The following is a 12,507-nucleotide window of genomic DNA, read 5'->3' on the forward strand; positions in this document are numbered from 1 at the left end:
TAATTAAACATGGAGGGCTGAATAGATTTAGATTCTATTTTCTGATGAATCTACTTAATAGGTTGGCTATATGCTTCATATTTCATCACATCAAAAGGCACTATCACTAGGTTCAGGTAATGACAGCCTGTCTTTCACTGGAAAGTTTCCCATCAACCTTTCCATGCAATGGTGCCAATCATTGATGATTTTTGCCTGAAATAATTTTATTATTGGTTGTAATATAGGGTATTTCCTTTTCTTATTCTATATGAGCAAATTGCTTTCTGTAAAAATAAATAACCTTGGATGACAAAGCCTGGGGAAACAAAAATAAAAAAGATTAAAAAATAAATAATGACTAACCTATTAACATTTCCCTTTTTTAACTTAATATTTCTTTTTCAGTCAGACACAGGTAGAAGAGAATCATGACAAAAATAATAAAAACCTGAAGTTTAAAAAGATAATTTGTTCCCTAGGACACATCGTTAGATAATTCTGTTTCAGAACTTCCAAGAATAAAGCAGAAATCATTTATAAAATGTGTTAAAACTCTTGTTAAAGACACTGCCATCATTGGAGGAGAAAAAAACAGGGACAGAACACAGAAAAACATCTGTTAAGTCTGTCTTTTTAAATAAGGAAACAGCAACCACATTAACCAAAATCCAGTATGTTTCATAGTATTCTCTTGAGATTGGCTTAGGAAACTGTCAGAGGAACAATTAGAAAATAGTGTCTTAGGCTACATTCAAACAGTTTAAACATCTGATGGTGCTTTTCTCTTTCTTACCTAAAAGAGCTAGGGTACATCTGAATTTTTAGACTTGACTGCTTTTCTGAATGGCATTTTGTAAACTTCATTTAAATTTCAAAAATCTTTTTGAGCTTTTTCAAATGATAGGTTTTTAAAAATATTTTTCTATGTGATGTTCTGTTCTTCAAAAAACAAATACATTAAAAACTATTATTGTGGGACCATATTGGCCTGAAAAAAAAATCTTTCTTAATTGAGCATAAACAGGAATAAAGATTAATTCAAAATAGTTTTTCCTCCTTCTTTTGGAATGTGGCATCCCCATCACAGTTAATGATGTAAGTTTTTCAAAACTGAGTCAGGGACTAGTTTATCCCACAATGCGACAATGTGGGCAGGGTAATTGTAGGTTGGGCTCAGTTTTCTTGCCAGAGTTCTAATGCTGTTTGTGTAACTTACCTCTAAGTGGAATAATTTAGGTACCTATAAAGTAAGGGCTCAATAACAATAACCTTAATGATGGCTAATATTTATTGAACATTTACTGTATGATAGGAATTTGGCAAAGTTTTTTCATGATCTTCACATCAACTTTATGAGGTAGATAATATCCACATTTTATAGCTGAGGAAACTGAAATGTAATGGTTAAATAACTTAACTAGGCTCACACGGACAGTAAATAAGCTGTATGTCCAAGATTACAATCTAGACAGTTTAACTGTGGAGCCTGCACCATTAATTGCTATACAGTATCATAATCATCACCACCACCACCATCCCTACTGTCTCTCAGATCGATTTTTAGGATATTGGTTAGATGAAACAGAGTACATGTGATATATAGCCAAAGCTCTCTTCTCTATAATATTAGCTCTCACAGCCATTGGGGTCTTCAACCATTCAGAGCTGATAAGCAAAGATATCAGCGTACTGGAACACAGAACAGTGCCTTGCATACATACCTAGGACAATATCTGCCACAAGGTAGGCACTCAAATATTCATTGAAGGAGTGGCAAGATGGTAACTATTCACATCAACCCCGACAGACACCTTTTTGCAATGACTATAACGCGTCCTGACCAAGCCTAAAACCAATATGTGTGGTTGATTTGTACCCTAGGTGATCTTTGGCTTCCTCAAGTTTTTGCACCACTCAGAATCATTTCATATACCACCTTTGGCAAACATGCCAGACCTGCAGTAGACTGAAGGAAGCTCTCCCAAGCTCTAAATTGATTAATTTATTAGTTCCTAGAAGAAAGAGATTACATGTTTATCTTTTTGTTACAGAAGAAACTTTGAATAGCAGTTGAAAATTTGGCAGGGTGGACCACCTAACTTGACAGTGTATTATTGTGTCTGTTTTGAAGGAATAAAATGGAATTATTTATAAAGTTTTCATTTGTATTAGAGAGAGCCATTTTTAAAATTTCACATTCAATTTGTAACATTCTAGAAGACAGATTATCTTCTTTCTGTATACTGTGTGCAGTAGGTATTTAATAAAATATTAACAGAAATGTAAAACAGTGATTTCTCATAGGGCTACTTATACCTTTGTATTTTGGTTAATGATGATAACACTTGTCAAAGGGCCCTAGGATTAACTTTTTCCCGTAAACCCCCTTATTTTGTGTTTTTAATAAGTTAAAGGGCCATAATTTCTTTTTCAGTCTTTTTAATGGATCTCATTATTTAGACGTTTTATATAAAATGACAGCAGATGACCAAAGATACAGTGGATCAACTTACCTGTCTGATCCTCGTCTTACAGCGAATGGTTTCAAGATAAAATTGATACCAGGTATGATAGTGTGGTTTAATATTTTCTGATGTGGAAAAATTAGTCTTGTTCCAAGAGTTACATTTGGGTTTCATGATTTACAGATATGGTGGTATATTTTTGTCTCACTATAAGTACAGTGTCAGCTATGTTAAAACATTTTTTTCAAAACATCACCTCTGCCTGAAACAAGTAAGTTTGGCATCTCTTTCAGTCCAATGCTTTGCATTTGCATTTTCATAACTAATCAAATAGTTTTATTGTAATTTTTGTCATCCTTTGACACAATATTCAAACTGCCTGCTTTGTTTAAATTATTAAAATACTCCTTTAAATGATAAAACACAAACATGTAGGATATTGGAATTGCCTAACAAAAATGGACATCTTTGCTTTTCAAAAAACATTTGCTTGTTTTGCCAATTAGACGTGTAACATCAGCAGTTGTACTATATGGAGAATGGATGATTTGGTTCCATGGCTTTGGTAAAAGACTGATAACCCTCTTTGCTCAGTATGGAAATTCATTGGGTGGATTTAAAAAGAAAAAAGAAAATCCATCTGGCTAGAGACTTCAGTTTTCCTGGCTGGCCCCTTCTCTGTTCCTTTATAGTTTCCATACTCAACTGCCTTCTGCCCTATCTTCTGTTACTTTCTCTTCATCTGGTATCAGAGAGGTACATTGGAACCATGAGGAAGGACTCCACTGTCTCCCTTCCTGCCTCTAAACTTGTCATGCCCAAAGTATAGAAAAACAGAGCTCGACCAAAATAGTGTTTGAAGATTTTTAAAGGAATGCTTTACTGAGATATGAAAATAAGTAAAAACAATGTACAAAAGCATGGAGCTGGGTATATACAGAAAATACTTTGGTGTCCCAAACATAAACTAATTTTACTTGATTTTTGTGATTTTTAAGGATACCTAACCTAAGCTTCTTACCTCCTACCTCAATTCTATTAGTCCAAATCCCAGCACTGCCATTTAAAAACAATGTGTTTTGGGGAAAGTCACCTGGCCTCACTGTGTCTTCATTGAAAACAACTAATAATTATTGAATAATTATTATGTACAGGGCACTATTCTAAGTATTAAATGTATTAATTTAATCTCCCTAATATCCTTGTAAAGTAGGTTCTATTACTGTCCCCATTTTACAGATGGAAAAATTGAGGCACAGAAGTTAAGTTTGCTCAAGGGGACACAGTTATTGGTAAAACCAGAATTTGAACCTAGGCAATCTGCCTTTAAAGCCTAGCTCTTAACTCATTTATTATATTGCCTTCCTGTCAAAATTTAGATATTTACTCCAGGAAGTATTGGTGAGCATTAACCAAAGTAACAATTAAATCAGTGAGCATGGTACTTGGCAATGGGAGATGCTCACATATTCTCTTTTCTTACCATCCATTAGCCCCCTTTAGCAGGCTTGCAGTCATCTGTTTTAGTCTTCCTAGAAATATTTCTTGCTCAGGGTCCCTGGCATCTTAAAATTTATGTGAAGTGAATTTACTTGAAGCAAGGGATGGGTGGGGGTATATGTGTTTTATTCTCAACTTAATCTGTTTTTCTAATTATATGGCGTTGGTGGCAGGTACTGGTTTTTTTCATGAAAGATATTAAACAGGCCAGGCACGGTGGCTCATGCCTGTAATCCTAGCACTTTGGGAGGCCGAGGTGGGTGGATCACCTGAGATCAGGGGTTCAAGACCAGCCTGGCCAACACGGCGAAATACTGTCTCTACTACAAAATACAAAAATTAGCCGGGCATGTGGCAGGTGCCTATGATCCCAGCTACTTGGGAGGCTGAGGCAGGAGAATCGCTTGAACCCAGGAGGTGGAGGTTGCAGTGAGCCAAGATCACGCCACTGCACTCTAGCCTGCATGACCGAGTGAGACTCCATCTTAAAAAAAAAAAAAAAAAGATGTTAAACTGCAGGTTGTTGTTGTTTTAAGGATAACTGTCCTTTCTTACCTGCCACTCAATTCCAAGAGCATTTTTTTTTAACTACCCAGTAAGTTTATATCTCACAGATGCTTTCAGCTCTTAGCTTGTAAGTAGTATTTTTTTAAATCTTATTGAATGCCTAATACTTTCCATAGCATCAAAGATGCAAAAATGATTAAGTCACCTGTAAACTGACTTGATTTGATTGGAATTAACTTTACTTAGATTATCATCAGCATTATTTCCCTTGTCAATAACAGAGCAAGTTAAAGATATTTATGTTTTCTTTCTTCATTTCTTTGTTTTTTTATTTTTTTAATTAGGTTGTATTTTCTTAACAGTTCTGTCTTGTGTGAGAGTATTGTATTTTACTAACTTTGAATCAACAGTTTGCCTGTAGTCACAGTACTTCTTTGGATAAGGATAAAAACATTTGAAAGAGAAGGAATACATCTGGCTTTGAGAGAGAAGATTCTCAATGTGACTCTAAGAACTTTGCATGCTAATAGGAATAGCTTTTTGTCCTGCATCAATAAGAATTCCATATTTTAGGAAGTGAAAACTTGTCAAACCACTTACTCATTTGATGTATTTTCCCTGAAAATTGGTAAGCATTTCACAGTATTTTATGGAAACTTTTCAAGGGTTATTGTTACATAGTTCCAATGTCTCTAACTTTTCCATATCTGAATTTTACAAACACAGAAGTTAAAATATTGCTCAATTTCCTTATTCGTTGCCAAGTACCTTTTACCCATTTCCACTAGTAATTCTGTGAAATGTGTATCATTTTCCAGGGCAAATGTAGTTAGTATTAGACTTTTCATTCTAATCATACTGTAAAAGATTTAAAACTACCAATAGTGAAAAATCACTTAGACTGATATTTTTGGCAATTTTCATATCTATATAAATAGTTAAAAGAGATGTGAACTAGAATATTCTGCTACTGCTTTTTGCCTACCACACACAGTTTTGAGTTTCATTTACGTTTCCCCTATTGCTCAAACTCATTTCGTTTCCACTGTTAGTTCGTTTGTGTTTCTATAAAGGAATACCTGAGACTGTGTAAGACTCAGGTAGACCTGAGACTAAAAGAAATGACCACAAGCCTTCCTTACAAAGAAAAGAGGTTTATTTGGCTCATGGTTCTGCAAGCTGTACATGAAGCATAGTGCCAGCGTCTGCTTTCCTTTTACATATAAGTTCCAAGTTTAAGTCATTTCTTTGCTCTGATGGTAGCCATGCCACTTCTTGAATGATTTGCTGCTTAGGAACTTCTTTCGCTAGATAGTGAAATTAAATAGTGATGACCTGGGTCATCACTCTTAAGTTCAAACTTCTACCGATCCTAAGGGCAGAGGTGTCCAATCTTTTGGCTTCCCTGGGACACATTGGAAGAGTTGTCTTGGGCCACACATAAAATATACTAACACTAATAATAGCTCATGAGCTTTAAAAAAAAAAATTGCAGAAAAAATCTCATGATGTTTAAAAAAATTTACAAATTTGTGTTGGGCTGCATTCAAAGTTGTTCTGGGCCACATGTGGCCCACAGACCACAGGTTAGACAAGCTTGCCCTGCGGCATGGATACAGTGCAGCCAAAATCCTTGCGGGGACATAAAAAGGATGACCTTTACTCCAGTTTCCAATAAATTCCTCAATATCATCTGAGACTTTGTGAGCCTTTCACTCTGCGTATTTCTATCAGCATTTTAGTCACAACCATTTAACCAGTTTCTAAGAAGTTCTAAACTTTCCCTCATCTTCCTGTCATCTTCTGAGCTTTCAAACTCTTCCAGCCTCTGCTCTTACCCAGCTCCAAAACCACTTCTACATCTTCAGTTATCTTTATAGCAGTGCCCCACTCCTCAGTACTAATTTTCTGTGTTAGTTTGTTTGTGTTGCTATAAAAGAATACTTGAGACTAGGTAATGTATAAAGAAATGAGGTTTATTTGGCTCATGGTTCTGCAAGCTGTACATGAAGCATAGTGCTAGCATCTGCTTCTGGTAAGGGTCTCAGGAAGCTTACAATCATGGCAGAAGGCAACAAGGAGCCAGCATGTCACATGGTGAAAGAGGGAGCAAGAGAGAGATGCCAGGCTCTTTTAAACAACCAGCTGTTGTGTGAACTACCACAGAGACCTCACTCATTACCATGGGGATGGCACCAAGCCATTCATGATGGATCTGCCCCATGACCCAATGCACCTCCCACTAGGCCCACCTTTAACAGTAGAGGTCACATTTCAACATTAGATTTGGAGGGGACACACATCTAAACCATAGCATCTCACTTCATTGAACTCTGTATCTCATCCCTTAATGCTTGATAATATAATATTATATATTATTCTCCAGTTGTTCTCTGGGAAAAATGTTTAGGATACCATCTCTGTAGTCTACCAGCATTGCATCTGCCAACCAGGTCAAGGATGTAGTCTGTAATTGGGAACAGGTAAGGGATTGGATTATTGAAGTCTCAGGATCTGAAACTCTTCAAGTTATATCACATCTCTTTTTTTAAATTAATCCATTGATAGCTACTACTTATCCAAGATTGGACTGTCTCTTTTCCTTTAATTCCAGGTAGCATTATGTAGACTTCATGAAAGAACACTGTTACACCGATACAGCCAAAGAAGACACATCTTTGCTATGTTCCAAAAATATGCATTCTAAAGCCAAATCTGATGCTTTGAAATATGTGCTGTTATGGATTATGTACCCAGTTATACATCCAATCCTTTAGCTAGTTTCTAGTTTTATTTTATTTTATTTTATTTTTTGAGATGGAGTCTTGCTCTGTTGCCCAGGCTGGAGTGCAGTGGCACGATCTCAGCTCACTGCAACCTGTGCCTCCTGGGATCAAGTGATCCTCCCATCTCAGCTTCCCTAGTAGCTGGGACTACAGGCACGTACCACCACACTCGTCTAATTTTTTTTGTATTTTTGGTAGAGACAGGGTCTCACCATGTTGGACAGGCTGGTCTCAAACTCCTGATGTTGTGATCTGCCTGCCTCGGCCTCCCAAAGTGCTAGGATTGCAGGTGTGAGCCACTATGCCCAGCCATTTAGTTTTATTTTAATTACTAAGAGTAATTTAAGTAACAGTTAACATGTCAGTTTTATTTGTCCTATTAAAATATTTTGAACAAACAGTATTTTCTTCTAATTAATAATATCTCCATAAATTACTATGTGACTGCTTTTATAATTCGTAAGTTAAAATCACAGAAATAATTCAGGCGTTTAGATATTGAAATGGTAGGGTAGAATTTGAAGAGCAGCAGTTGTTAAAACACTTAAACCAGTTTTATTTTCATAAATATCATGGGACTCCATTTTCTCTCCAAAGCAAGAAATGATCTAAACAAATTTAAGGAACAGAACAGCAATAACTGGGATTAAGTTAAATTATATAAAGCACATGTGGTGTCAGTGAGCACTTATGACTTAATGTGAGACCCTATGGGAAATTACTATTTGTTCTCCAACTAAGGAACAAAACTTTGTCCTGACTGTATTAAATTTGAATGAGGGTTCACTAAATGTTTTAACAGCAATTTTTGTTTTTAATGGACATGTTCTGGAATATGAACTTAACTATGTGTTTTTATTTTTTTTCTTTCAGGAGTTTCAATTACTGAAAATTACTTGGAAATAGAAGGAATGGCTAATTGTCTCCCATTCTATGGAGTAGCAGATTTAAAAGAAATTCTTAATGCTATATTAAACAGAAATGCAAAGGAAGTTTATGAATGTAGACCTCGCAAAGTGATAAGTTATTTAGAGGTACGCATTATTTTATATATATGTTATTGTATACAGGGGTCCCAACTCCCGGGCCAAGCCGGTTAGGAACCAGGCCACACAGCAGGAGGTGAGCGGCCTCCTAGCGGGCATCACCACCTGAGCTCTGCCTTCTGTCAGATCAGTGGCAGCATTAGATTCTCATGGAAGCACAAACCCTATTGTGAACTGTGTATGCGAGGGATCGAGGTTGTGCACTTCTTGTGGAACAATTTCCTGAAACCATCCCCACCCGCCAACTGGAAAAACTCTTCCACAAAACCGGTCCCTGGTGCCAAAAAGCTTGGGGACTGCTGCTGATTCTATATATAGAGGTATTATAGATTGGCCAGACTTTAAGATACTTATTTCTTAAAATAGTAAATTATTTCCAAATAGTAGAATATTATCTGTAAGTTTTATTATGTATTTGCAAGAAGAACACTATTAAAAAAAAAAAGAACACTCTATTAAGTTTCACATCATAGACTGACTGTGGTAAACTCTATCATGGATTCTTACCATAACATTTTCTTGGGTACATATTGAGGAAAGACTTTATAAATGAGATATTTTGCAGTGAAGTTCTTTTTTAAAAACATTTCATAAATAATCCCCTCAGAAGGGGTTTAAACTAATGCTACCTTTATATTACATACTTGTCTAAAAAGTATTGTAATATAATTCTAAGTCCTGATCTCATCAAGAGGAGTAGAAGGGAAGGAAAGTGAAAGATGGGAATCTTTGAATAAGCGGAAATTTTCATTTTTGTGACAGTATTCACCACAAAAGAGAAATGTAAGAGTGGGTTAAAAGAAAAGGATTAAGGAAGGTTATAAACTTTAAAATATAAGATAGTAGCAGGAAAACAATAGTGTTTCCATCTATATATCTTGTTCTAGATATCCCTCAAGATTGGTATTATTTAAAAAACAAACCTGAACTCTAATGAAGTTTTTCTCCCTTTTTAAAAATGAGCCATTTTTGTTTACAGTTGGTAGTGTGCCTGCTGTATTCTGAAGGTCGGACTTCCTTAACAGGAAAGTCTGCTTGTTAAACCTTCTGAAGAATGTATTCAGTAATGTTCTGTGAATCCTTTAGGAACTTTGTCATGTGGAAATTCCCAGCCTATTGTGCGGGTAGCTTAACATTGATAGTTTCTAGAGACTTCAAGGGAATATTTTCTTGTGAAAGAGTTAGTATGAACTTAAAGGTTGAGGGAGCTGTGGGTTGGAAGAACCATGTGGGGAGAAATAAGAGTTCAGAAATAACAGGAATAAAGTAAATTGGGACTGGTTTTAAATATTTTTTTGCTAATACTTTACCTTTCAGTATGTTAAGGTAATAGTGGTATAAGTGTTAAGAAAAATGGGCTAGGAAAAAAAAAGAGAGAACTTAAACCACGGGGATGCTTCCATTTAAGGTCAATAAGATGAATCAGAGAGAAAGGAAAGTGAAAGGAGAACCAAGAGAGGGGTGGATGTAAAAGTCAAGGAAGGAAGTAAATTTAAGAATAAGTAGTATCATGTTCTGTATAGGGTAATAATTGCTAGAAGACTATCAGATATGGCTACTAGATGACATTGGTAACCTTGAAGAGAATCGTAATGGCAAAGTACAATTGTCCTTGTATATACTCAGTGGATTGGTTCCAGCACCACCTGTGGATACTAAAATCCAGGCATGCTTAAGTCCTGCAGTCAGCCCTCCAGAACCCACATATATGAAAAGTTGGCCCTCCGTATATATGGATTTCGCATCCCATGGTACTGTATTTTCTATCACAGTTGGGGTCGGAAAAACATCCATGTATAAGTGGACCCACACAGTTAAAACCAGTGTTGTTCAAGGGTCTGCTGTGGTAGGAATAGACGACATTTGCCAGTAGTTAAAGAGTGTAGTAGTGGAAAAGTAGGCAGCAAGTCGTATGATAGTGAATAGTGAAAGGAAGGAAAGAGTATGTTAAACATGTCTGTGTTGAACTGGTGGAAGACTGACAATAAAAAATTGCAGAGGAGGCCAGGCTTACTGGCTCATGCCTGTAATCCCAGCACTTTGGGAGGCTGAGGTGAGTGAATCACCTGAGATCAGGAGTTTGAGACTAGCCTGGCCAACATGGTGAAGTCCCGTCTCTACCAAAAATACAAAATTTAGCCAGGTGTGGTGGTGCGCACCTGTAATCCCAGCTACTCAGGAGGCTGAGTGAGGCAGGAGAACTGCTTGAACCCAGGAGGTGGAAGTTGGAGTGAGCTGAGGACGCACACTGCACTCCAGCCTGGGCGATAGAGCTAGACTCTGTCTCAAAAAAAAAAAAAAAAAAAAAAAAATTGCAGGGGAAATGTTCCCCAAAAGGCAAGAGGGAAGATAGGATATGAATTTAAGGTTTAGAAAGAAGAAACTGAATCAAGAGCAGAAAACAGAAAAGGGGAAAAATGAAAATAATATTTTTACGTAAACTTTAAAAAAAAATTTCTTAATCATTAGAACCTGTGAAATTTTAGGGGAACTTGAGAGAAGTCATGTTGATATATGTGGTGAAAGAGTAGAAGTTACCTGCTGAGAGTGGAGGGGTTGTGGGAAGGAGTTGGTAATTTTAGTACAGTAACAAAGATCTGAAAATAAGAGCTGTAGGTACTATAAGAGAAGGTTAATTAGAGAGGAATAAGAAGATTTCCAGGTGTCACTGAGGGATCTTAAGAGTTAACATTTGTATTGGATCCAGCCAGGACAGTTTTATGACTCAACGATGCTCAGTAGAATTTGTCCAAGGGTAAATCAAAACACCAATTCCTCACCCTGTCCTAGAGGGTGATCTGGCCTCTGCCTAATTTCCTTTTCTTGTTCCTCTTTTTTTTAACAACTATGATGCACCCACACTGAACATTTAGTTCTTTCTCTTCTGTCTGCGTGAGATGCTTTTCTTTGCCCATGATCTTTCCATTAAGGTTTCTTATTTATTAATTTTTATTTATTTATTTTGAGACAAGGTCTTGCTCAAAAGCTGGAGGGCAGTGGCATGATCACAGCTCACTGCAGTCTTGACCTTCAGGCTCAAGTGATCCTCCTGCCTCGGCCTCCCATGTAGCTGGGACTACAGGCATGCCCCACCGTGCCCACTTTTTTTTTTTTTTTTTTTTTTGTGGAGACTGGGTCTCACTGTGTTGCCCAGGCTGGTCTCGAACTCCTGGCCTCAAGCAGTTCTCCTGCCTTGTCTCCCAAAGTGTTGAGATTACAGGCCTGAGCCACTGCACCCAGCCTGGTTCCTTATTTAAATTCAAGCTTAAAGTCATCTCCTCAAGTAATCTTTTTCCAACTCTACAATCACTCTATCATGTGGCCCAGTTTAATTTTACGCATTATTTATTGACTAAAATGTTCTGTCTTTTGTCTGTTTTCTGTTTCTCTGCACTAGAATGTAAATTGCACAAGAGCAAGTCTTGTTTTTTGGTTCACCACTACATCCCGAGAGCTGACAACATAGTTGATACTTAATAAATATTTGTTGAGTGAATTCATAAAATGAAAATAATCAAGATTCTGTCTTCCTTTTTGCCAGGATAACATGTTTTCAGCTTCAGGGTATATCATGGTAAAATGTGTGACTTTCCCTTTGGACAGGGAGAAGCAGTGCGTCTATCCAGACAATTACCCATGTACTTATCAAAAGAGGACATCCAAGACATTATCTACAGAATGAAGCACCAGTTTGGAAATGAAATTAAAGAGTGTGTTCATGGTCGCCCATTTTTTCATCATTTAACCTATCTTCCAGAAACTACATGATTAAATATGTTTAAGAAGATTAGTTACCATTGAAATTGGTTCTGTCATAAAACAGCATGAGTCTGGTTTTAAATTATCTTTGTATTATGTGTCACATGGTTATTTTTTAAATGAGGATTCACTGACTTGTTTTTATATTGAAAAAAGTTCCACGTATTGTAGAAAACGTAAATAAACTAATATAGACTATTCATTTGATTCTCAAGAACCAACCATCATCATAATTATGAGTTGTAGGCTCAAAATTGGAAAATAGGTAGTATTTTTGGGTGGTTATTTACTAGGTCCTCTGTGCAGGGAGAAATCAAACATCACACATACTGGCATATCTGACAAACAGTGTCAATATTTTTTAAAGTACAATGGAGAGTCAGAGTGGGAGAAAATGAGAAAACGAAGTTTAGAGGAAGAAGAAAACCAGAAATCCTTCCTTTAACTTCAATTTAGGGGGTA

At 36.6% G+C, this 12,507-nt stretch overlaps 1 protein-coding gene across 22 annotated transcripts in view; it reads left to right on the forward strand.

The window, feature by feature from the left end:
* The window catches only part of PMS1 (PMS1 homolog 1, mismatch repair system component), a 93,180-nt gene extending 80,933 nt beyond the window's left edge, over positions 1-12,247 (forward strand). For 21 of the 22 annotated variants that reach the window (NR_110332.2, NM_001321047.2, XM_017004348.2 and 18 more), the window contains 3 exons: positions 2,417-2,547; positions 8,114-8,274; positions 11,890-12,247. Coding sequence is in view for 21 of the 22 variants with exons in the window: in NM_001321047.2 (NP_001307976.1) it covers positions 2,417-2,547; positions 8,114-8,274; positions 11,890-12,054 (457 nt within the window). In the remaining variant the exon portion in view is untranslated. Of the gene's footprint in view, positions 1-2,416; positions 2,548-8,113; positions 8,275-11,889 lie in introns of those variants that run through there. The other variant, XM_047444776.1, reaches the window with a different exon arrangement.

Source organism: Homo sapiens, chromosome 2, assembly GCF_000001405.40.
Source record: "Homo sapiens chromosome 2, GRCh38.p14 Primary Assembly".
Classification (NCBI taxonomy): Eukaryota; Metazoa; Chordata; class Mammalia; order Primates; family Hominidae; genus Homo; species Homo sapiens.